This window comes from Homo sapiens, chromosome 18 (genome assembly GCF_000001405.40).
Source record: "Homo sapiens chromosome 18, GRCh38.p14 Primary Assembly".
Classification (NCBI taxonomy): Eukaryota; Metazoa; Chordata; class Mammalia; order Primates; family Hominidae; genus Homo; species Homo sapiens.
In genome coordinates, this window is record NC_000018.10 from 67875767 (window position 1) to 67902665 (window position 26899).

The 26899-nt window shown below is 32.0% G+C and overlaps 1 long non-coding RNA gene across 1 annotated transcript in view; it reads left to right on the forward strand.

Annotated features, from left to right (window-relative positions):
• DSEL-AS1 (DSEL antisense RNA 1) overlaps positions 1-23853 on the forward strand; it is a 383074-nt gene extending 359221 nt beyond the window's left edge. The window contains exon 5 of the long non-coding RNA NR_033921.1: positions 21414-23853. This is a non-coding gene — a long non-coding RNA (DSEL antisense RNA 1). The remainder of the gene's footprint in view (positions 1-21413) is intronic.
• The last annotated feature ends 3046 nt before the right edge of the window (positions 23854-26899 follow it).

A 26899-nucleotide genomic window follows, 5' to 3' on the forward strand; every position in this document is an offset into this window, starting at 1 on the left:
AAGAAAAATCCACACCTCTCTATACCCATCAGAATGGCCAAAATTAAAAAAGCCTGACAATACCAAGTGTGGACAAGAATGTGAAGCAAATGAATAGCACATAGATTACTTATGGGAATGCAAAGTAGTACAGCTATGTTGGAATATATTTTGCAGTTTTTACAAATTTAAAATTCACTTGCCATACACCACAGTAATTGTATCCCTAGGTATTTACCCAAGAGAAATGACAGCATATGTCCCCACAAAACTTATATGCAAATGTTCACAGTATCTGTATTCATCATTCCTTAAAACTGGAAAGAGTCCAGATGTCTATTATATCTGTGGATAAACAAACTATGGCATCTCCATAGGATAGAATATTTCCCAGCAGTGAAACTGAGTGAGTCACTGATATATGCGACAACATGGATGAATTGCAAAAACATTATGCTAAATAAACAAGCCAGGCACAAAAGAGGACATACTATTTGAACTGCTTATATGTAGTTCTGGAAAAGCCAATGCTAGAGGGATAGAAATGAGATCAGTAGTTACCCACAGCTGTGGATGGGGAAGGAGATGAAGTACAAAACTAAAGATAGGCATACGAAACTTTTCAAAGTGATGAGAATGTCCTGTTATATTTTGATGTGTTGTCTCTCTCTCTATATATACATCTATATATATATATATATATATATATATATATATGGACTCACACATATATTTGCCAAAACTTAATAAATTGCACACTTAAAATAGATTTTTAATTATATATACATTATATTTCAGGAAAAGTCATATTTTATAAGTAAATTGATACAACATTTAAACAAAGATCACACATTTAAATAATTTTATATATCATATTATCCTGAAATAAAATTAAATGAAATGAAAAAATATACAATTAATAGATCATTTTATATGTGACTTTTCATTATTGGCAATCTATGGTGTTTCAATAATTCCCAATTCTTATTTTATAGAAATAAATAAGAAAAAAAGCTCTGGTTAGTTGCGATTAAGAATTTTACCATTGGTCTGCCTAATTCTGGATCTATTTTTCCCTCTTATTATCCATACTTTGTGAAATTTTGAGGAGGCTTTACCACCTTGTTTTATTTCTAATAGGCTGAATTAGCCATCATCCCAGGATATTCTTACTTCTTTTTAATAGAGCAATTATTCTTCCAGCGTTCTAAAATGAATGCTTGCTGCCTATCACTGAAAATCAGGAAATTCCTTCTCTTTAGTTTTCTGCATCCTGCCACTTTCTGACTCTAAGCACTCTTTTTGTACGACGCCCAGCTGTCTCTGCATTCTGTTTGCACTGCAGGACTGTGGAGAGTTTTCTATTTACTTCTTTCTTAGGAAGAGAATCTTTCATACTGAGTCTGTCCTTCAAAAGGACTCAGTAGAATCATGAATAATATGAATCTTTCTACATAATATTAGATGCTCCCTTGCAGTACTCTTTATTTCACATTCATTGTCATATTTTAAAGTTTTCTTTTTTGTATATTTAACCTATGTTGATAGTAAGAATAAGTTAGTTACTATTTCTCAGTTTATTTACTTCCAAATAAACGTCTGGCTGTATAGTGTATTTTGCAATTCATTTTTTACTGAATCTTCCTAAAACTTGTGGTACGTATCTCAAATATTATTTCAGAAATATTTAATCCATCTTTACCGTTGTTTCATAATTGTATCATGTTGCATAAATTTTACAGCATTTTGCCATATTAAGAAGATCAAAACCACTTTTACCTTTTTAAAATGTCTATAATTGTACTCTACAATGATCAATAGATCTATTCTGTTCAATCAACAATGATTAATAAGTTTATTCGCTGAGTCTAAAATTTTTAACAATAACCAGTTTCCCACCTTTAAGTAATACTATTTATAATGCCGAAAATAATGGTATAGAATTTCTTACTAAATGTCTAGACTTGTATAATCGCAGAATCATTCATTTAAGGTTTAATCTAAAACATTCCAATAATTTGATTGGTTACATCTATCAGATCTATCATCTCTAACCACGCAATAAAATATGTGCTTGTGTGCTGAAGTGTTTAGGGATATATCAGCCATAGTATAAAATGAGCTCCGGTAAATTAATAATAAAATAACATAATTTCAAAATGATATGAATAGTGATAATTCTAGTTAAATAAAAGTGTCTCTTTTTTGTCTCATTAATTATGAAGATCTTTAGTCATGGTAACGCTATATTTAAAGAATTTAAGATTCAAGACTGTGCCACAGCCTTCAACTATTCTTTTAATAATTTAAACATTTTTACTTGTTAAACTCAAAGCCTGATAAATATTTGTAAAGCTTCATTTACACCACAGCGATCATAAAATGCAAGTGTTTAGTTCATCATTGTCTATTAACTTTCAATAAAGTAACTGAATTTTGTTTCGATTTGAGTACATAACTGTAATATTAAAAAAATTCAGACTTCTGAATCACATTTTAAAGTTAAAGTAATTGTATAATAATTTAAAAGATATGTTAAAGGACACAATTACACATTTATAGAGTAGCTACTAATCCTCCTGATAAGTCTTTGTTCGTCTGCATGTGAATTTCTCTCATAGCGCTAATTACCATGCATAGCAAATTTGACATTGTAGATTAGTTAACTTCTAGATAATATTTTATATGTGTTTCTTGTATAAATTAATCTTGCTTACAGTTAACTGCTTAGGACACTCCATTTATGTGCAGGAGATCTTAGCAAGATGTCGAAGGAATTTATTAGTATTTATTACTATTATCTTGCATAGATGTTTTGCTAAAGACAAATTACATTATTCTAATTTAGGTTAAAAAATTAAAAATCAAAGGATGGGAGTTTAGAACATTAGAACAAGGGAAAATTAGGAAATGTAAAATAAAAAACATTTTGACATGGGGTGATTAAAATGGAAAAAATATTTTTAAGATTGGTTTTAAAACAAATTTTACAGTCACAGTTGATATGTTTTAATGTCACCTGTGAAATGTATGCAAACATTCTACCTAAGACTTAAGTCGAGATATTATAATGGTAATACAAGACTTACTATACAACAAATATTTTATTCTATGTTTCTACTAAATTTTTAAGATTATATATTTAATAGACTATATATTAGACTATAATAGATTATATATTTAATATATTTATTTAATATATTTACATAGACTTTTTTGTTGTAAATTTCCTTCTCAGAACTGCTTTTGCTGCGTCCAAAATTTGGCTTGTTATGTTTTCATTTTGGTTCTTTTAAAGATAGTTTTTGATTTTCATCCTGATTTTTTCTTTGACTCATTGGTTTTTATACACATGTGGAAGAAGAACAATGGATTCTATCTCACAATATATACAAAAATCATGTCAAAATGGATTAAAGATCTGAATTATAATGATTAATTAAATTAAAACACCATATATATAATTAAGGTCTTTATTATGGTCTTTGTAATATTACTTATTTCTAAGTATCTTTGTAGCCATTTTTAATGAAATTTTTTTCACTAATTTTTGGACAGTTCATTGTTAGTGTATACAAATGCTACTGATTTTTGTGTGCAGATTTTGTATCCTGCAAATTTACCATTTGTTTATTAGATCTAACAGTTTTATTGGTGGCATTTTAATGGCATTCCATATATATTGCCTTGTCAGTAAATGACAGTTTCACTACTTCCTTTTCTATTTGAATGCCGTTTATATCTTTCTCCTGCCTAATTGTTCGGGCAATGGTATCTAGTACTACGTGGCACAAAAGAGGTAAGAATGGGCCTTCTTTTCTTGTTCTTGATATCAGAGGAACAGCTTTCAATTTTTCACCATTAACTGTGGATTTGTCATATGTGGCTTTTATTATATTGAGATACATTCTTTCTATGCCTAATTTTTGAAAGTTTTTATCATAAAAATGCTGAATTTTGTCAAATATTATTTTCTGCTTCTGTTGAGATGATTAAATGATTTTTACCCTACATGGTGTTAATGTGCTACATCACAGCTATTGATTTGCATATCTTGAACTATCCTTGGATCCCAGGAATAAATCACACTTGGTCATAGTGAGTGACCTTCTGTTGAGGATTTTTGCATCTGTGTTTGTTAAGGTTGTAGTGCCTTGTCTGGTTATAGTATCTGGATAATGCTATACTTGTATAATGAGCTTAGAAATATTCCCTCCTCTTCAATTTTTTGAAAGGGTTTGGGAAGGATTGGCGTTAATTCTTTTAAAAATTTTTGGAAGTATTCACCAGTGAAGTCATCTGGTTCTGGGCTTTTATCTCTTGAAATATCTTAAATTACCAATTCAATCTATTTGCTAGTTATAGGTTTATTCAATTTTTTACTTCTTCATGATTCAATCTTGTTAGGTTGTGTATGTCTAGGAATTTATCCATTTATTTTAGGTAATCTAATTTGTTAGTGTATAATTGTCCATTGCAATCTCTTATGATCCTTTGTAGCTCTGTGGTTTCAGCTGAAATATCTTCTTTTCATTTCTGATTGTATTTATCTCTTCTCTTTTTTTGTCTTGTTAGTCTAGCTAAAGGTTTATCAATTTTGTTTGTTTTTCACAAAGATAACTCCTAGTTTCATTGATTTACTGATTTTCTAGTATCTATATCATTCTTTCCTTTTCTGAACGTTATTATTTCCTTCTCCCTGCTAATTGCACTTTGTATTAGTTCCTTGAGGGCTAACATTAGCTTGTTTATTTAAAACTTTTCTTTCTTTACTTAGACTTTTTTTTTTTTTGTAAATTTTCCTCTTAGAACTGCTTTTCCTGCATCCAAAATTTGGCATGTTATGTTTTCATGTTGTTTTTTCAAAGATAGTTTTTGATTTTCATCTTGATCTTTTCTTTGACCCATTGGTTTTTATACACATGTGGAAGAAGAAAAATGGGCTCTATCTCACAATATATACAAAAATCATGTCAACATGGATTAAAGATCTGAAACTATAAAAGTACTAGAAGAATATATAGGAGAAAAACTGTATGACATTGGCCTGGAGACTAATATTTTGGATTTGACCCCAAAAATTTCCCAATGGAAGCAAAAATAGACAAATGAAATTACATCAAACTGAAAAGCATTTACACAGCAAAGAAAATAATTACCGGGGTGAAGGCAGAACTTATGAAATAAGAAAAAAATGCCAAATTATATATCTGACAAGAAGTTAATATCCAAAATATATATTAATTTTATTATAACTTGTAAGCTATAATTATACATATTTGTATGTTAAAAGTAGATGTTATGATATATGTATACAAAGTTGAATAATTAAATCACATTAATCAAGTTATCTATTACCTCATATACTTTTTTTTTGGTGGACAGGACATTTGAAATTAATGTGTTAGAAAGTTAGAAATTTCCAGTATACTATTAGTAATTATAGACACTGCGCTCTACAATCTGTCTAAAAGAAAATTTTTCCTGTTTAACGCTATTTTTTTGTTTGCAAGAGGGTCTCACTCTGATGCCCAGGGTGGAGTGCAGTGGCTCAATCTTGGCTCACCGCAGCCTCTACCACCCTGACTCAAGCAATCCTCCCAGTTTAGTCTCCTGGATTGGGATGATTAGTATTGTTAAAATGCTCCTACTACCCAAAGCAATCTACAGATTCAATGCAGTTCCAATAAAAATAGCAAAGACAATCTTCACAGAAATAGAAAACAATTAAAATGTGGTTAATCTTAATAAAACATTTTGAATGAGAAATAAAAGAAAAAAGAATAAGTGGAACAAACAGAAAATAAATTGAATAGAGAAGACCTAAACCTAATGAAAATAAAAATATATTCATTATGAATAGCATAAATATAATAAAAATTTAACAGTATTTTTTCCTTCTCTTTAAAGAGCTGTGTGTCAAGATGAGATCAACACTGATAAATTATTCCTTTACATTTATATTAATACCTTTAAAGAAAAAAAAATTCCAAACTTAAAAGTTCCCAAAAAATAGATAATGACAGATGTTCCCACATATTTTAGAAGGGAGGTATTATAATATTTATAACAAAACCTGCCAAGGAAATTACATTAACGAAAACTACATGCTCATAAGTCTATATTGCTATAAATTCCAAACCAAAAATTCTAAGGAAAATAATCACATACAGTGTATACAAAATGGATGTTGTATCATGGTCAGTAAGATTTGTTTTAAGCATGTAATGTTTTTAACAGAGACAATCAGGATAATTTGCAATGAACAGGATATAGAAAAAAAAAGATCATCTTAGTAAAAGCAGAATAAGAAATTAATGATTTCAAAATGTTTTTATTCTAAAATTTTTCAACTGACACGGAATAAAAGAGAACTTCATTAAACTGAAATACAGTGTCTAAAATATAGGTAAGATTATAATCAGTGCTAAAATACTGAGTGGTTTTCTTTGTTCAGGAAGTCTATGATAATTGCAATCATCATGTCCACTTGGCACAGTATTGCAGGTCATAGCCAAAACAAAAAGTCAAGAAAAAAAATGATACACTTTGTGGCCTACTGATACAATTGAATATTACACTAAAATTAAAAAAAAAGCACTGAACTACTGATATAGCATTAACATGAATAAATCTCACTGATAATACTGAGCAAGAGAAGCCAGGAAAAATGAGAATATACATTATTATTTTGTTAATATTATGTTCAGGAGCAAGCAATTCTACTCCATAATAGCAGACACCAAAATAGTATTTGAATTTCAAGGAAGGGGTTAACTAGGAGAGAATAAAAATGAATCTCTTGCATTGATAGTAACGTGCTGTATAGTTGAGGGTTACATGGCTGAAATTACATGTAAAATTAATACTCTATCAAACTTGTATTATGTTTATCTGCTCACTTGAGTTTTTGTATTGATGTCTCATAGCAGCATACATCTCCAAACATTTTTTGTTTGTTTTATAGTAATAATGGCATAGTTTCCCATTGTAAAAACATAGAGGAGGTAAGAATATGGGAGTGAGGAGGAAAACAGCTAGGGCCATGAATAGTAGTCTCGTGTCAAAATGAGACTAAAGAGGATTGCTATTGAATAGCGATAGTAAGAAAAGGCTCTTAAATTGCCAAGATGCTATCCTGTAAATAGTACTTAAAGAAAAACCGTAATATGACACTATAGTTAATGTTTTGCAGTGCAAGTTTAAAAATGTCTAAGGGTTTTTGAAAATTAGTTATGTATATGGAAATCAATGACGTATCATAATTCTTTTAGGCACTCAGGCTAAAGACGTCAAGCTTTCATCTAGCGCACATCTATGTGTTAATAAATATATCTTTCCTATCCAGGACCAAAGACTCCTAAGGCTGTACAAAGTTTTTAAACGATTGTTGTAAAGGGCAAAATGGATGGTTGGACAACAGAAAATGCTCTCCTGGAAAAATAATTCCTCTCGCAGTTGCAGTTTGATGAGAGGTTTCTCTTCTCGTATCTGTAAGCACTGCTGGCAATAGAAAATAAAACAACATTCTTCCTTCAGAACAGTTTTTGTGTAGGAGAGTCAGGGGGAGAGAATTAAGGTCTACTGTTGAGAGATTCTCTAGCACATCTTAAATATCCAGGAGGCTTAGTAAAGCTTCAGATAAGTATGCCATTATCATTCAAGATGATAAATCTGAGCTAAATTTAACTTCCTAGCTTTCGGGCTACCCTTATTATTAAAGAATTTTCAGGGTTTTAAACATGAATATATATACCCTTATTATTAAGGAACTCTCAAGGCTTTAAATGTGTATTTATAAATAAACACACATATACGTATCTATGTCATATATATGTATATATACGCACTATTTTGAATACCTTTGCAATGTTAGCTTGTATAGTTTTTTTCTGTTATGTAAGCAGCATATATTTAGAATATTTTGCTTATATAAATTCAATGTAGACATTAGTTTGAACAGAACTCTAACCAAGACATTAAATACTTGTCAGCATGCCAGGTATGGATAGCTGTAAGGTTAGTGAGGTAGAGTGAATAAATATACAATGAACCATAAAGCATCTATTATAGATATACTATACTGAGGCAGATATATTTTAGGCCTAAAGGATAACACAAAATGTTTTCTAGTGCATCTCAATTACAATGAGCATATCTCGAAGCTCTGAAAAGTCTTAGTGAGCTGGACCCTCTTAGATGCTGTGGGGGAGCCAGTGCTGCAGGATTGAGTTGCACCTTCTCTGTGCCCTGAATACGAATACTCCACATTTTGCTATTTTTAGAGAGTTTTGTTCTCATTTAATTAAGTATACATTGTACTGTGTATTTCAGTCTTGCATACATTTTTCTTGATTATTAAAGTATATTTTTAAGGGATATGAAGGGCGACACCACAGGAATTTAAACAAGTTTTGATCTTTGCTTGGAAATTTAAATTTTTTCAAAGATTTGTTTTCCAATATGACTATTTTTTATTATACATTTATATGAGAACTTTATTCAGAAATGTAAATGTGAGTGGAATAAATGAAAAATATATGACAATTTTTTCTTTCAAATTAAGATATCAGAAGGAAATCAGATGTTTTAGAGTATAAAGGCATGTAGAAATCTTAATGTTCAGCATCTTACTTTTCAGGCAATGAATATGAGGTGCAGGAAACAGCACTCAGAGAATATGCAACTTGTATTAGCACCTAGTCCTACTATATATAATTGGTTCCTAGAGACAGTAGAACTGCCTTTAATTCAACTGTGGATGGAACCAAGATTCGTGGCTTTTACTACAATTCAATCATTACCAACCATGGCTCATTTTAAAAAATTCAAATTTTATTTAGATTCAGGGCGTATGTGTGCACAGTTTTTATATCACGTGATGCTGAGGTTTGGAGTACAAATTAACCCATCATCCAGGTAGTGAGCATAGTACCCAGTAGGTAGTTTATCAGCACTTGCTCTCCTCTAGTAGTAACCAGCGTCTACTGTTTCCATCTTTTTATTCACATGTGCCCAGTGTTTAGCCCTCAGTTATAAGTGAGAACATGCAGTATTTGGTTTTCTGTTACTTTGCTTGGGATGATGGCTTCCAGCTGTAGCCATGTTTCTCCAAAGAATATATATATATATATATATTATATATATATATATGGAATATATGTATAGAATATATATATGTTAAATATATATATTTATGACTGTCTTGTATTCCATAGTGAATATGCACCACATTTTCTTTAGTCAATCTACTACTGATGGGCACTAAGGTTAATTTCATTTCTTTTTTAGTCAATCTACTACTGATGGGCACTAAGGTTAATTTCATTTCTTTATTATTGTGAGTAGTGCTGCAGTGAACATACGTAATACATGTATGTGTCTTTTTGGTAGAACAATTTATTTTCCTTTGTGTATATATCCAGTATTGGGATCACTGAGTAAAACGTTAGCTCTATTTTGGTTCTTTGAGAAATTTTCTAAATGCTTTTCACAGTGGCTGAACTAATTTACATTTCCACCAACATTATGTAAACACTCCTTCTTATCCACCGCCTTGTCAGCACTTGTTATTTTTGACTTTGATGTGAAGCCATTCTGATTCGTGTGAGATAATATCTCACTGTAATTTTGATTTGCATTTCTCTGATGATTGTGTTACGTTGAGCATTTTCATATGTTTATTAACCACTTATATAGCTTCTTTTGAGGAGTAACTGTTCATGTCCTTTGTCCACTTTTTAATATACTATTTATTTTACTTGTTGAGCTGTTTAAGTTCCTTGGAGATTTTGGATAATTAGACCTTTGTTAGATGTATAGTTTGTGAATAATTTCTCCCATTCTGTAGGTTGTCTGATTACTCTGTTGATTGCTTCTTTTGCCGTGCAGAAGCTCTTTAGTTTAATTAGGTCCCACTTATCAATTTTTGGTTTTGATGCAATTTCTTTTGAGGGTTTAGTCTTGAATCCTTTGCAAAAGTTCATGTCCAGAATGGTACTCTGTCTGTTTTCTTCAATGATTTTTATAGCTTGAGATCTTACATTTAAATATTTAATTCATATTGAGTTAATTTTTGTACATGGTAAAAGGTAGCAGATTCAACACTAGTCTTATCAAACTATCAACAGCATTTTTCATGGATTTAGAAAAAAAATTCTAAACTTTATATGGAACCAAAGAGGAGCCTGAATAGCCAAAGCAATCCTAAGCAAAAAACATAGCCAGGGGCATCACATTACCAGATTTCAAACTATACCATAAGGCTACAGTACCCACAATAGCATGGTCCTGGTACAAAAACAGACTTACAGACCAGTGAAACAGAATATGTTACTGAAACACCAGAGGATCAGTCTAGGTCCTGCTGCTTGCCAAACAGAAAGCCAATTGTTGAGACAATGATTATTGCCAAGGAAGAAGGCTTCAATCATGTGCTACACCTGAGGAGACAGGAAATCAGTCTCAAATCCGTCTCTGTGATGTCTAAAATTAGAAGTTTATCTCCTAATGCTATCCCTGCCCCCTCCCCCCACCCCACAACAGTCCCCGGTGTGTGATGTTCCCCTTCCTGTGTCCATGTGTTCTCATTGTTCAATTCCCACCTATGAGTGAGAACATGCGGTGTTTGGTTTTTTGTCCTTGCGATAGTTTGCTGAGAATGATGATTTCCAGCTTCATGTGTGTCCCTACAAAGGACATGAACTCATCATTTTTTATGGCTTCATAGTATTCCATGGTATATGTGCCACATTTTCTTAATCTAGTCTATCATTGTTGGACATTTGGCTTGGTTCCAAGTCTTTGCTATTGTGAATAGTGCCACAATAAACATATGTGTGCATGTGTCTTTATAGCAGCATGATTTATAATCCTTTGGGTATATACCCAGTAATGGGATGGCTGGGCCAAATGGTATTTCTAGTTCTAGATCCCTGAGGAATCACCACACTGACTTCCACAATGGTTGAACTAGTTTACAGTCCCACCAACAGTGTAAAAGTGTTCCTATTTCTCCATATCCTCTCCAGCACCTGTTGTTTCCTGACTTTTTAATGATCGCCATTCTAACTGGTGTGAGATGGTATCCCATTGTGGTTTTGATTTGCATTTCTCTGATGGCCAGTGACCTAATGCTAAATGACGAGTTAATGGGTGCAGCGCACCAACATGGCACATGTATACATATGTAACAAACCTGCACGTTGTGCACATGTACCCTAAAACTTAAAGTATAACAATAATAAAATAAAAAATAAAATAAAATAAAATTAGAAGTTTATACAGCAGGGAAGAAATCTAACAATGTGTAGAAGAACAGGAACTGGGATTATACTGTATAAGAATAGATTTGTGTGAGTGTGCATCTTGGTGTGAGTACCTGTGTTTGAGTGTTTCTTAATAGGAGAACCTGGTTACTTTGGGAAGCAATACAAGAGCATAGTAGAAAGAAATGGCACCAGATTGACTGACAAAATCCTGTGTCACAATTTGCAAGTTACTTCACTTCTCTTATTTAAAATATTCTTTATTGTAAAATGAGAATAAAAATATCCCAATTAATATTTTTGTTAGTAAGGCCAATAAAAAGAATGGGCAATAACATTTAAGACATAGGAATGGGCAAGGATTTCATGACTAATACACCAAGAGCAATTGCAACAAAAGCCAAAATTGACATATGGAATCTAATTAAACTAAAGAGCTTCTGCAGAGAAAAAGAAACTATCAACACAGTGAACAGACAACCCACAGAATGGAAGAAAATTTTTTGCAAACTATGCCTCCTACAAAGGTCTAATATCCAGCACCTACAAGGCACTTAAAGAAATTTACAAGAAAAAAATAAACACATTAAAATTGGGCAAAGGACATGAACAGACAATTTGCAAAAGAAGACATAGATGCGGCCAACACTCATGAAAAACAGCTCAACATCTTCGGATTATTAAAGAAATGTAACTCAAAACCACAGTGAGATACCATCACACACCACTCAGAATCACTACTATTCAAAAGTCAGGAAATAACAGATACTGGTAAGGCTGCAGAGAAAAATAAATGCTTATACATCTTTGGTGGGAATGTAAATTAGTTGAACCATTGTGGAAGAGAATGTGGCGATTCCTCAAAGACCTAGAAACAGAAATACCATTTGACCCAGCAATCCCATTACTGGGTATGTAACCAAAGGAATACATTGTTCTATAATAAAGACATATACAGGTGTCTGTTTATTGCAGCACTATTCACAATAGCAAAGACATAGAATTAACTTAAACGCCCATCAGTGATAGATAGGGTAAAGAAAATGTTGTACTTATACACTATGGAACACTATGCAGCCATAAAAAAAGAGCAAATCATGTCCTTTGCAGGAACTTGGATGGAGCCAGTGGCCAGTATCCCTAGCAAAGTGGTGCAGAAAAAGAAAAACAAATACTACATGTTCTCACTTATAAGTGAGAGCTAAATGATAACACATGAACATGTAGAGGGGAGCAACACACACTGAAGCCTATCAGAGGGTGGAGGTAAAAGGGAGAGGATCAGGAAAAAAATAACTAATTAGTATTAGGATTAACACCTGGGTGAAAAAATAATTTGTACAACAAAACTCCACGACACAAGCACATACGTGTGTAACAAACCTGCACATGTACCCCCGAAGTGACAAGATTTTTTTTTTTTTTTTACGAATGCCTGGGAAGTATTTATCTTGGTATCTTGAGTATGTCCACATTCCGAAACTGAATTATTTTTACTAGACAGGCTTGATAAACAATTTAAAAAATTGTAAAGGAGATTAGAAATTTTTCAGATATATTCAGCTAATCTTACTTTTTTACAAAAGCTCAAAATGTATAGAGAATTAGTCTTTTGATTTTTGTCCTTGATTGTTGTTCCCTTATTCACAGGTTAATCGACACTAAAGGTCTGCATACAAATTATTTACTATCCATTGCCATATTTATGCAGCACAAAGTATACTCAAGGAAACCCAAAAAGCAGCAGCCCTATTCCCTACATTACTAGTATGGAACCTGTCAATGTCTAATTACTGGCCACGAAATGCTTAGACAGAATATATATATTCTAACATCTTCAAGATCTGAAAAGATAGATCAGAGAAAAACACGTGTAACACTGGATTATGTTCCTCCAAATGATGATAAAATGATACTATTGAAAAGGGTTATTTTCATAGAACCTAATTTTTCAGATGAGCAGAACATTTTTAACTAAAGTTGAAAATTACATTCTCAAATACTGAAAATAATTTTATAACTATATCGATAAATAGTCTTGGCAGAAAAATACAATTATTGACTATCTCCAATTCAAAAATATTCTTACTATCTTATTAGATAATTTTCTTATTTGTTCTCTGTTAAAGTGTGCTTGCCTATGAAATAAACATAAACTTTCTTATGAATTTCTATATGAGAGGGATGAATTTGCTTTTCAGAAGTGGCTCACTCAGTAAGTAGAAAAAATAATTAAAGAGTGAATTCAAATTCATAGATTTTTCTCCAGATTACAGCAACTTGATTATTTGATCTTCTTTAATTTCTTTTTATTCCACATTTGCATGTCTATCTTGAACTTGAGTAAAAATATTAAATGAAACATGTAACAAAAATATATGAATTTCCAATATCAAAGTAATTATTAATAAACTATAACCTGAGACAAAATAAACAATATATTAATGCTAAAATATTACAAGTTATATGACCAGATACTACATAATTCTGTTAGGACAATACATAAAAACAGTAAAGTTTAGTATGTAATTATACTTATCAAGTACTTTATAACTTATAAAAATAATTCACTATTTAAAATATAATACAAAGAGGAAATAAAAGTACAATGGCCATAATACATTAATATCAAGCACAACTGTGGCTTTAAATACTCAAGGATATACTTTTACTTTTGAAACTAGAAAACAGAATGAAGGATATGAAATGTATTACCAGGGTCTACTAGATTTTATTTTCAGTAAAAATGATATTTAATATTTCTGTTGAAAAAAGAATGAGCTATTCATTATTCTCTTAATCTCATAGATGTATAGCCTTGAGGGAGAAAATTTTAAAAGTACATTGAAATGCAACGTTGAATTGTGATTAACGTCCTGTCCTTAGTCGCAACGTGCAAATGCCCCTGCTTTCTGCAAGAGTAGCTTCCGATCCTGTGGGACTGTTAACTGAATCACAACTAGCAGGAAAGATTAAAAAAATGACCTTCCCTTGACAGTATATATGGTCATGTGCACAACGACATGAATTAAAAGTGACTAAATAAACAAACCTCACACATTTTTGTTGTTGTTGCAAACTTTTGAATGAAAAACAAGGAAAGAAAAGGTTTGATGAACACATGTCACACCTGAGTCTCTAAATTGATTTTTGGACTTGCACCGGGTACAAATATGGAGCTCATCCGATTTGACTTTATATATTCTTTAAAATTTTTATCACTTTATTTTAATTTCAATGGATTCTTTGGGGAAGCAAACAAATCCAAATATTCAATTGATCTTGTATCAGAATTTTGTATTTCTAATTAGTTTTATTCTATCTTCTATTCATAATAAAAACTGTTACTTCTATTATTAACCATGTGCTCTATGTATTAATCTTAATATCTGTACTCTATTCTCCTCCAAGTGTACTGATGTGAGCAGGATGTGGGACATAGCCCTGAATCTAAGACTGCTTTTATAGTCCTGGATTACTAGCTAGACTTCCACAAGAGTTTAAAAATGAAATACTAACTTATTCCTATTATAAGAATGTTTTATGAATACTTCCTTTTATTTGATCAATAATTCTAGTTTAGTTTGCATCCAAATTTTAATGTTTCCTCTCACCCTGATACTGTGAATTGTATGCCCTATTTCGCTGATGTTTGCTACAGAAAAATAAGGGGAGATGATTGAAATTAGGCTATAGGTGCTGGAAATCCAATTTTTTTTAAAGAGAAATATAACTTTGGGAACCCATGTTTTAACCATTACTCTTTCTTCTAGAGGAAGATAGATTATCAAGAACAACAGTTGTGGGTAGAAGAAGCAAGGGCAGGTCAAAATTGTAGCATTGTGGTATACAGATCAGATTTCTAGGTACTAATGCCTTCTAAAATTGCAAAGCATAATCACTTTATCCATACTAAATAAAACTCTCATTTTATTAGGTAAAAGGTGATAGTTATGTAAATAATATATATATATATTTTGAGGCAGGCACAGGGTGCTATTGACTCACACCAGCCTCAACCTTCCTGGCTTAAGCTATCCTCCCACCTCAGCCTCCCAAGTATCTAGGATGACAGGCACGTGCCACTGTGCCCAGCTAATTTTTTATTTTCTTGTAGAGATATGATCTCTCTATGTTGCTCACGCTAGTCTCAAACTCCTGGGCTCAAGCAATCTTCCTTCCTCAGCCTCCCAAAGTGCTGGGATTACAGGCATGAGCCTCTGAGCCCGGTCCATGGTAAATCTTAATCACATGGAAATTTGAGCAATTAAACAATATGCATGTGAGAACACTTTCTTTGTAACACATACATAATATATATACATATATACACAATAAATATCTGTAGGTAACACATACATATATACAAGATAAAGGTGGCATTAATGATTGGTTCAAGACAAAATTTTTGAAAAATGATATTACAACTAACCCACAATTTGGAAATACATTAGGAACCAATATGACTTCAAGATGTTTTAGCAATTTAAATGTTAAAAAATGAAATCACACGAAAAAGAATATTCAAGTGAAAACTTTATAAGTAAAATGCCCAAAGCAGAACTATCCAGGACAGGAAGGTATCCGGTAAATTGTTGACAGTGTCTCCTTCTTCATATGATGAGGCGATGCACCCACCATTGGCTGAGACTCTGACATTGACAGATCTTCCCTTTCTTGAGTGTTTCAGATTTCCTAGACCACATAGCTAATCTTGATTTATTATGCCAGGTTATGTGTAAAATGATTCACATTTGTTCACCTGTTGTATGTGGAAAAACCAAAATCTTCCTTCTCTTTGCTTTTACAATTCTGACTTCAAAGAGCATAAACTCCTTCTTCCTGTTCCAAGCCTGCACACATTTTCTGTTTTGGAATAAATGACAATCCTTCAGTGAGAAAATTATACATTATTTTATGTTGTTTGAAGAATGAGTATCAGTAGGAGATAGTTGATAAATGGTTAAAAATACGGATTCAAAGAGCCAGACTAGACTAGAAATATATTTGGGATCATAAATTAGAATTGACAGGGTTAAATTTCCTTTGTGAAATAATGTAGGGGAGTGTGTAGATAAATAACCAAAAAGGCTGTAGGTTCTAACTTTGAAGGACATTATTATGTAGAAAGCAAGAAAAGGAACAGAATCTCATGAAGAAAAACACAAAGAAATTACAGGTCTAGGAAGATCAAGAGAGTGTCAGAAAATGAAAAATGAGGAAGAGAAAATTTATGAGTGAGTAACTATCAATGGCACAGGAAAAGTGAGGGAGCATAACTATTGTTTCAATGGAGAATTCATTGGATTTTGTATTAGATGAGGGCATTAATGATGTTAACAGGAAAAATTTCAGTGGAGTAGCAGAGGGTAGAGGACAGATAGGTTGTAGTCAATGGAGAGAATTTGTTCTACTCCACTTCAGACTACAGCTTAAGTATTGTTTTTGTTTGTTCAGAGAAGTGCATTTTAAGGGGTACTTAGAGACACAAGACCATGTACAGAGTACAACGATCATGATTTGGAATGATGAAAAACGCTTGCATTAAAAGAAAAAAAATAGAAGAATCTGAGGCTATTTCGGTTGGAGAAAAAAGACACTAGAGATCATGAATAGTTATCTAAAAATATTTGCAAGACTTTTACATGTAAGAAGAATTAGAGACAGGTTTTTAAACATTCCCAGAAGAAACCATTAGAATCATTACTGTGAAATTAAAAACACATATTTGACTAAATAAAAAATATAATTAAGATGGAGCAAAATGTTTCCATTACTCCTCATTTCAATGGGCAGTTGTTATGTATTCCCCAAATAAAGCATAAGGAAAATAGTTTATTTAGAAATACACAGGAAAATATCTAAAAGCGAATATTTTTAATTGACAAAAATCATATACCTTTATTGTATAGGATATGATATCTTGAAATGCTTATACATTGTAAAATGCATAAATTGAACTAATTAACACATGAATTACCTCATATATTTATCATCTTATTGTGTTGGGAACACTTAAAATCTACTGTCAGTCATTTTCAATAATACAAACTTCAGGTAGATGGGAGGAATAAAGTTTAAGAGATCTATTCTGCTGTACAACCAAGTCACTATGATGAATAGCAAGACTCTTCTCTATGTTCATTGCTCTCTTCCACACTTCTGGAAGTGAAAATAACCTGCCATCTTTTTTTTTTTTTTTTTTTTTTTCTTGAGACGGAGTCTCGCTCTGTCACCCAGGCTGGAGTGCAGTGGCACAATCTCGACTCATTGCAACCTCCGCCTCCCAGGTTCAAGCAATTCTCCTGCCTCAGCCTCCCATGTAGCTGGGACTACAGGTGCCGGCCACCACGCCTGGCTAATTTTTTTTTTGTATTTTTAGTAGAGATGAGGTTTCACCATGCTCGCCAGGAAGGTCTCGATCTCCTGACCTCGTGATCCACCTGCCTCGGCCTCCCAAAGTGCTTGGATTACAGGCTTGAGCCACCGCGCCCTGCCATAACCTGCCATCACTTATAGAGGAAATTAACAGTCCTCAACTTCAAATGTCCAGAACATAAAGACTCTGTATTACCACAGATAATATTGTAATGAAATAATATTCTTTTGCTGGCTTCCCGAGAATGTTTAATTTAGTATTATGGAGAAAGTACTATGTTGATAGGCTCTGGAATATACTTAATATACGTGGATGTGAACATACACATTGCTAAGATGTTTTCTCTATCTTTGTTATACATTTTATACTTTTATTATGTTATTACATATAGCATGTTGTCTTCTTTTCGGGGACTTTGTGCTGATTAGAAAAACAAAAATAAAAGAATATAATGCAATGCAATATATGTTATATTATCTGTATGGTTGCAAAACATTTATGAACAATGGAATTTCAATGATTTTCCCTGGAGATTGATGGGGAAGGCTTGTTTTTGATCTGGAAGAGATCAAAGAAAAAGTAAGCTTTAAAAGGTAATTTATGGATGGTAAGGGAGATTCTCAGCTATTTGGGAAGGAAATTTGAGCACGAGCAAAGACAGCATTATGAAAGTCAGAGCAAGCTTAAAGAATTGAAAGTGGCTTGGAATGCCCAGAGCAAACCATGTGTGAAGGAAAGTATGTGTGATGAGGCTGAAAAGCTCGGATGTGTCAGATTGTGAAGCCATAGAAGCCCTTCGGCCTTTAGGGTGTAAATATGAGATGAATACAAACTTTTAAAATAATGGTTAATTTTAATAAAAGTTAATAATATAAAGAATCTCAATAACAGACATTGGGAAAATAATTTCTATACATAAAAGTACCTAACAATATATTAATTTCCTATTTAATCTCCAAATCATGACAAGCTGTACAATTAAAATTCAGCAAAGTAATTTATACCTTTAGAATTGGTTTCAGTGGTTGGACTAACATTGTTTTATATGGTCTTTTTTTCTTAAGAAATCTTACATGGGAAGAAAAACGGAAGGACAACAGCAATTGAAACTGACATTTATTATTAAGCTTAAACACAAATTAGTCACCCAAATAAACTGTGCAATTCATTGGTGGCACAATAATCATACTAATGACCCACAGTTGACGTCAATTATTATAAGTATATTACAAAGGCATTAATTGCAAGTTGCTGCCAGATTTATGAATTATCTAAGCAGATAGAATGCAATCATATTAAACGTGCTAATGATGCTTTAAGTGGATAAGGAAAATCGGAAAATTCACCATGAAACACTAAGCTTTGGTAACACAGATTTTATTTATCATAAGAAAATGGGTCCATGTTATTTTCAGTTGGCAACAATAAATTATTTCAAAATCAAAAGCAAAGAAAATACATACTTACTACTGCTCAGGCCCTTAAAAAAAGAATTAACACAGTTTCATGTATGCTAAACTCAATTATAAGTAGAAAAATCCATAAACATTTTAATGTATAGAATGATATGCATACATTCACTTTAACTATATTAAGATATGTTGCAAATAAAATTTCAATAAAGCAAACTTCACATTTAAATAAATCAACCTATTTATGAGGCTTGTAAAAAAAAAGTCAATTACTTCCATGTAATTTGTGTAACAAAAAGTCATATTGTTATTTTATTTGAATTATAGTATTTAAATATGTGGTTTTATATACTGTGAATGAATTATTTTATGAATAATAAAACATTTCATATGTGAATATTTATATAAGGAGACTAAAACCAAAGAAGAAAATGTATATAAAAAGAGCAAGGTGACTTTGGGAGGCTGAGGCGGGCAGATCACGAGGTCAGGAGATCAAGACCATCCTTGGTAACTCGGTGAAAGAGTAAGACCCTGTCTCAAAAAAAAAAAAAAAAAAGATAGAAAGGTGAATGAACATCATTAAAAATTAACATCCAAATGCATATGTCCATTGAGAGCAATTTCTGAAACAGTAACTGCAGAGATTTTTAAATAAGCTTCTGAAACTTAGGAACCTGGTATTTGATCACTGCTTGAAAATATACCTCCTATATATATTCATTTCATTTCTGGATAATAGTCTCTATCCTATCTCTTTCTCAATGCAAATAAATACAATATTTGGATTTTATTGGATTAAAAAAATCCTGTCTTTACATCTCCATATGGCTAATGTCCATACGTATCATTCAAATTCTCACATTATTCTGATGTACTTAATTGAAAATAGATGATTGTTTCATAGGCCTAGGGAATTTCAGGAATTTTCCTGGAAGAGTATAGATGATATGATTTTATAAGTTAAAAATTGATAGCCATTTTTCAAAGCTGATTACTATTTCAAGCAAAGTTTCTAAAAAGTTTCTAACATATACTCAAAATTTTTCTTTGAGAATTGTTGTGCTTTCCTTGTTTTTTCTACATCTCAAATCAATGAATGTGAATTAACTTATATTTGTGATTTTTTTTCTAGCTGGGACAAATAAAAGTGTCAATTCCTTTATGGCTAACATATGAATTATAGCTTCAGTAATTACTTTTGTGGATACTTCATTTATATCATTGTATAATCTCTACAGAAATTATCCATCTTCTAGAAATCTGCACCACATAGCACCTTTAATTTATGTACCTACTTATATTACATTTGTTCCAAAACGTTTGCCTCTAGAAATCTGCATTCTAATAATCATTTAACTTAAAAACATATGTTTATGTGACAAGCCATATTTGGTTAGTAATGCAAATAACAACTAACGCACTTTAAAAAGTAATTATAGGTAAAGTGTTAAATTATTTAAAATTTTAATAAGTGCACTAGTATTATTAACCAAATATTGAATTGTTTCTATATCTAGCACTGATATGCTAACACATGCTGGCACTCAAATTATGTGTAGAGTAAGTGAATGTATACATTTAACAAAGCAAATTCTTCTAACGAAGTCAGTCATGTTTTCTTTTTTGCAAAAATCCACGGAAAATAACATTCATTATTCCAGTCTGAGTTTTCTGAATCACATAAAATGGTAACTTTAAACCATAAGTTAGAGGGAAATACTATTCCAAAACATCTTCATTTTAATATGCTTCTTTATTTTTGGCATTAACATTCATTTTCTTTATTCTGGCATATGAAAGCCCAGAGGGTGGCCATGCCTTATTGCCTTAACATATGCTGTTTCATTTGCTGAAAAGAATATGAGGCAACAGATTAGAGGGAGGAAACACAGTTTCTACCCAGGTGTAATCAAAAGCATAAACTTGGAAAATCATGTTCAGATAAGGTATTTCGAATCTATGTGTCAGGATGAGAAGAGCTCATTTAAAAAGTGATCTCAACTCTTGTTGATTAAATGCCTCTAGAAAATGAGTCTTTATTACACAGACGCTATGAAATGATTCCAGAAACCCTTAGACTTTACGATAAAGAAAAATTTAAAACAGACTGTTGCAATGTAATAAATTTTTACTTTTCCCTGTTTAAATATTTTAATAAAATATGCCTAGAAGAAACTCTTACATTGCAAATGCCAGTATTACCTTAAAATAATACAGAGAAAAATCTGGACTTTTAAAAATAGGGTTTTTTAAAACATGAAATTAATTTAACAGACCTCAGAAAAGATAACTTCTCATTGCAATCTGTGAAGCAATGTTAAAATCAGAATCTGACAGAACTAGACTTATGAGAATATAACATTGTCATTTCAGACTAACTCTCCTGCTGGAAAAGAAACAAAAAATGAGCAAGCTGAACAAATATTATAAGAAAATATTTTGAACCGACACTGAACCAGGCAAGCGGTGATGATATGAGAGGTCATGACCCAGAGACGAAGGAAGGAGCAGAGATATGCCTGCAAACTCAAAAGCTGCTTTTCCCAAGGAAGGATTTTGTTTACCCAAAAGCCGTGCAAGGAAGACTAGAAAGGCTGAGTAGAGTGCTTGCTAATCTCCTGGGTCTGTGATGACAAAAGATGAAATTCAGAGCCCATTAAAGAAGAAACCTGTGAAATATGCCAGAATTAAAGTTAGGATTCTTGAAGGACTGCACATTAGCAGTATGTGTAAATCAAAAAATAGAACAGCTCCCACAAAGAATTCAGCCCAGAATAAAAGTATATTTTATGTGTGGAACAAAATTAAATATATTAAAGTGAAATTTGACAGAATACAAAAGAGATATTCTGAAAACCCTAATAGCTATTGAAACATTTCACACATGTATCTCATGCGTTAATAGAAGCAGCCAAAAATATCATTATGGGGACTGGAAATGTAAACAATATGATTCAAAAAATTGACCAAATTGACATATATTGAATGCTAGTTGCAGTGAATACAGAATAGAAGGTCTTTCAGATGTGTTAGAATAGTCACCAAACTTAATCAGACGTAGGAGCATGAAGTTATTCTCCATAAATGTCAGCGAATCAAATGTACACATGTTGTGGTACCTGCTAACATATTAAAATGTGTGGATGCTGTTTTAGTCATGGTAAGAAGGAAATACACTCAAATACATAAGGCAGATGGGAAGAAAGACTAGAAATAAATGAACAAAACAACATCTTGAGAAGAGAGCAAAAAAAGCCTGGTTTCATCCAATGCATACATTATTGAAATAGAAAGAAGTATTCAATAGAGAATCAATAAAGCCAAATTGTAGTACTTTCACAAGATTAATAAACCTAATAAAACTATAATAAAACTGAGAAGTACATGGAGAGAAGGTAGAAATTATAAGCATCAAGGATGAAAAAATGGCCATTAGTAGTAGTTCTAGAGATAGTATAAAGATTAAAATAAGATGATCAGACAAGTTGATACTAATAACTTGGAATATTTGATTAAGTTGAAAAATTCCTTGAAAAATACAATCCCTAGTTTGACTCAAGAAGACAAAAATTATGATATCTCTTAAATAAATTTTATCCTAATGTGATCATCTTCCTACAGTGAAAATTCAAACTCAAAAAATTCACAAATGAATTTTCCAAACGCTGAAAGAAAAAATATGTAACTTAAAAATTCTTTGAGATATTTTTAAAAAAGAAGAAACAATGTCCAACTATTTTATGAGACCAGAATAACATTTACAACAAAACATATAAAGACATGACTCAAAAGTTAAATTGAAAGGTAATATTTACTATAAATATATATTCAAAAGTCATGAAAAAAACACTACCAAACTTGTTTCAGTAATATAAGTCAGCTTGTGAAAATTAGAGTTATTCATTATTCTGTCAGACTGAAAGAAAGCCACATGATCCTTTCAATTGCTTTACCATGGCATTTGATAAAGTCCAAGTATATAAGCATTCAAAAAATGTTTAACAAACTATGAATGACAGGAACTTACATCATCAGATAATGCCTGTAGTAAAAAAAAATAGCTGCAGACAAACCTCATGTTCATTCATGAAACTTTCCCCCTAAGAAATTAAGAATAAGAAAACATTGCTTTCTGTTAAAATTTAAAGGTGTTAGCTAGTTAAATAAGGAAAATAATGTAAGATCCAGAAAGTAAGTAATTAAAATATCATTTTTCCAGAATGTATAATTGTATAAGTTCAAAATTCAGAATCATCTACAGATAAATTAGAATTAATGACTTGCTGCCTTATGAAATAAAAGAACCATATATAACAAGTGAGTATATCTTTACAACAACCTTAGAATTTCCCACACTCAACAATTCAATTACAGAATATTATAAATTCCACTTATATCAAATCCTGTATTACCTTATGACGTCAAGTATTAACTTTGCCACTCTATTTGACATTGCAAGCCACCAATCCATGTCTAGCAATTTTAACCTTCTGACTTTATTCTATTTTTATTTTCATAGCACACCTCTCTTTGTAACTAAATACATTATTTATTTATTTATTGTATATATAATTTATTATCTGTTTTTCCCTAAGTTCCCTGTGGATGTGACTTATGCTTGTTTTATTCATTGTTGTATCTCATATGTGTAGATCTGTGTTTGGTACATAATAGGGACTCATTTCTGTAAGGGTTGTTTGACCTCATGGGATACCACCAATTCACTCCATTATCATTGCCACTCTTTAGGTTCTGAAAAGGTGAATTGAATTACGTGAATTGAATTGCGTGTTATTAAAAACGTTTTTACAGACTGACTCCCTACCTTCTTTTTCCCATCCTTTTATTTTCTATGTTGTGTTCAGAGTAAATTTTCTAATACAATCTTCATGAAATTATGGTCTCAGGACAATACAGTAAGTTGAAATAGAACAATGTTTCACTAACAATAAATAGAAAAAAGGTAAAGTACAAAAGCCTGGTATTTAAAATACAAATTTGTAGAAGCAACAAGACCCACATGAAATAAAATTTCAGAGTGAGAACCGAATTAATGAAATATCTTTCAAAATTCCAATGGCATTTTTCACAGAAATAGAAAAAAAATCTTAAAATTTCATATGAAACTGTAAAAGACCCTGAATAACCAAAGCAATCTTGAGAAAGAACAAAGCTGGGGACATAACACTTCATGACTTCAAACTACATTACAAACATATACTAATCAAAACAGTATAGTACACAAATAAGAACAGACTCATAGTCCAATGGAACAGGATAGAGAGCCCAGAAATAAACTAATCGGTATATGGTCAAGCATTTTTAGATAGGGATGCCATGAATACACAATAAGAAAAGTATAGTCCATTTAATAAATGTTGTTGGGAAAACTGTCTATCCATATGAAGGAGAATAAAATTGGACCTTTTCCTTATACCATAAACAAAAATTAACTCGATACGGATTAAAGACTTAAACCTAGGACTTGAATCCGTAAAACTCCTAGGAGAAAATAGGTGAAAAGCTCCTTGACATTGATCTTGGCAATTTGGATATGACACCGATAGCACGTGAAACAAAAGCAAAAATAAACAAGTGGGACCATATCAAAGCACAATGTTTCTGGTCAGAAAACAAACATAAATCAGCAAAACAAAATGACAACTGATACAATTTTAAAAATATGTTGCAAACCATATATCTGATAAGGGATTAATATTCAAAATAAGGAACTCATACAATTCAGTAGCATAAACCAAACCAAAACAAAAAACATGATTTAAAAATGAGCAAAAAATCTGAATGGACATTTTTCCAAAGGTGATGTACCAACGGTCAACAGTTACGTGAAAAGATGCTCCACATCACTATGCATCAGGGAAATGAAAATTAAAACCACAATGAGAAAGCACGTTGAACCTGTTAGGATCTTTAGTATTAAAAAGCAGGAGATAACACGTGTTGGGGAGGGTATGGAGAAGAGGGAACCCTTTTGCACTGTTGGTGGCAATGTAAATAGGAATAACCATTATGGAAAACAGTATGGAGGTTTCCGAAAGCTTAAAACTACCATATGATCCAGCAATCCCACATCTGGGTATACATCTAAAAAAAAAAATTAATGTCAGTATCTCAAAGATGTATCTGCACACTCATGTTTATTGCAGCATTATTCACAATAGTAAAGATATAAAACAACCTAAGTTACCATTTACACGTGAATGGGTAAAGAAAATATGGGCGTGTATAATAGAATATTATTCATCTATAAAGAAAAGAAAATCTTGCCATCTGCGACAACTTGGATGAACCTGGAGGACATTATGCTAAGTGAAATAAGCCAGACACAAAAAGACAAATACTGTATGATTTTACTTACATTTGGAATCTAAAAATGTTGAAATCGCAGAAGCAGAGAGTAGAATGATGGCTGCCAGGGGCTGGAGGGTGAGGGAGATGTCCAGATGTCAATCAAAGGGTATAAACTTTCAATTATCAGATGGGGGAATCTCATGTATGGCATAGTAACTATGGTTAATAAAGTCATATTATAGATTTGAAATTTGCTAAGAGAGTAGATCCAAAGTGTTCTCACCACAAAATATTGTTAACTATGTGAGGTAATAGTTATATGAATTAGCTTGATTGTGGTAATCATTTCAAAATGTAAACATATGTCAAAATTATCATGTTGTATAACTTAAACATATACAATTTTTATCTGTCAATTATTCCTCATTAAGACTAGAAAAAGATGAAATTTCAGAGTGAGAGCAATGATTTAGAAGTGAGTGAGACAACTACCACCAGAATTGTTTTTATTTTCTAACCCTGGATGCTTGGACATCGTAGCGGAGTGATGCTGTGTTTCTCTTTGGAGAAACAGCTTTTAGAAGGTTCAGAGGGCTGCAGTAACATATGGGAAACTTGAAGGGCCTCAAAGACATGGATGGTTTCCCTGACAGGTTCTTTTCTGAATGCTAACATTATGCAGAAGAGTGCAGCGCAAAGACAAACGCATTTGAAAAATAGAGTGAAATATCATGAAGTATTTCAGTACTAAATATAAAGTCACAACTGATGGAATGGATTCTGAAAAGAGAATATGCAAGATATGCAAGAAAAATAGCGTGTACTGACAAAGAACATAACTTGATTTTTCCTTTGGGGAAATATATTTGTTATGGGGGCTACTAGAAGTTGGGAATCTGAGCTTGATTATTCACAGATTTCTTTTGAGAGATAAGAGAAGCCAGCAACGATTTTGGTGTTCAAATAGGGTTGCTGTGACAATATTGAAGACTTGGATGTTCTCAAACACATGACCAATGTTTCCTTCAAGATACTTGGTCTACTTTGACTCTTCATGTGGCGGGATGCTAATGAACTGAAACTCCAGAAGGCATGAAGGGAATCTGCCCCATCCTTGAAGACGAAAGAGACAAATGCCCTCCATGCTTACCAAGGAAAGTCCTTGAAAGATACACCCTGTGATTGAGAACAAACCAGACAGAGAAGGTCTTCCAAAAACTCAAACTCAGGCCTTACTAAGTTATTTCTTTGATATGATTGAGTTATTCAGCTTCTTATCAACCTTCCAGCTGAAGAAGCAGCTCACTCTGGAGAAAACATAATCTTATCTTGTGTTCCTTAGCCTCCAACACACAGAAAACAACAAAATATTATTAGTCATGTAAGAATTACATTTTGTTAATAATGAGAGGAAAGAGTATATAGAAAAACAAATGAACGGATGGCCCAGCTAATAGATTTAGTAGAAAATGGCTTTAAAATAAGTCTAATTAATGTGTTAAAGGAAATGGGTAAAATACAGCCAAAAATATAAAGATAATAAATTT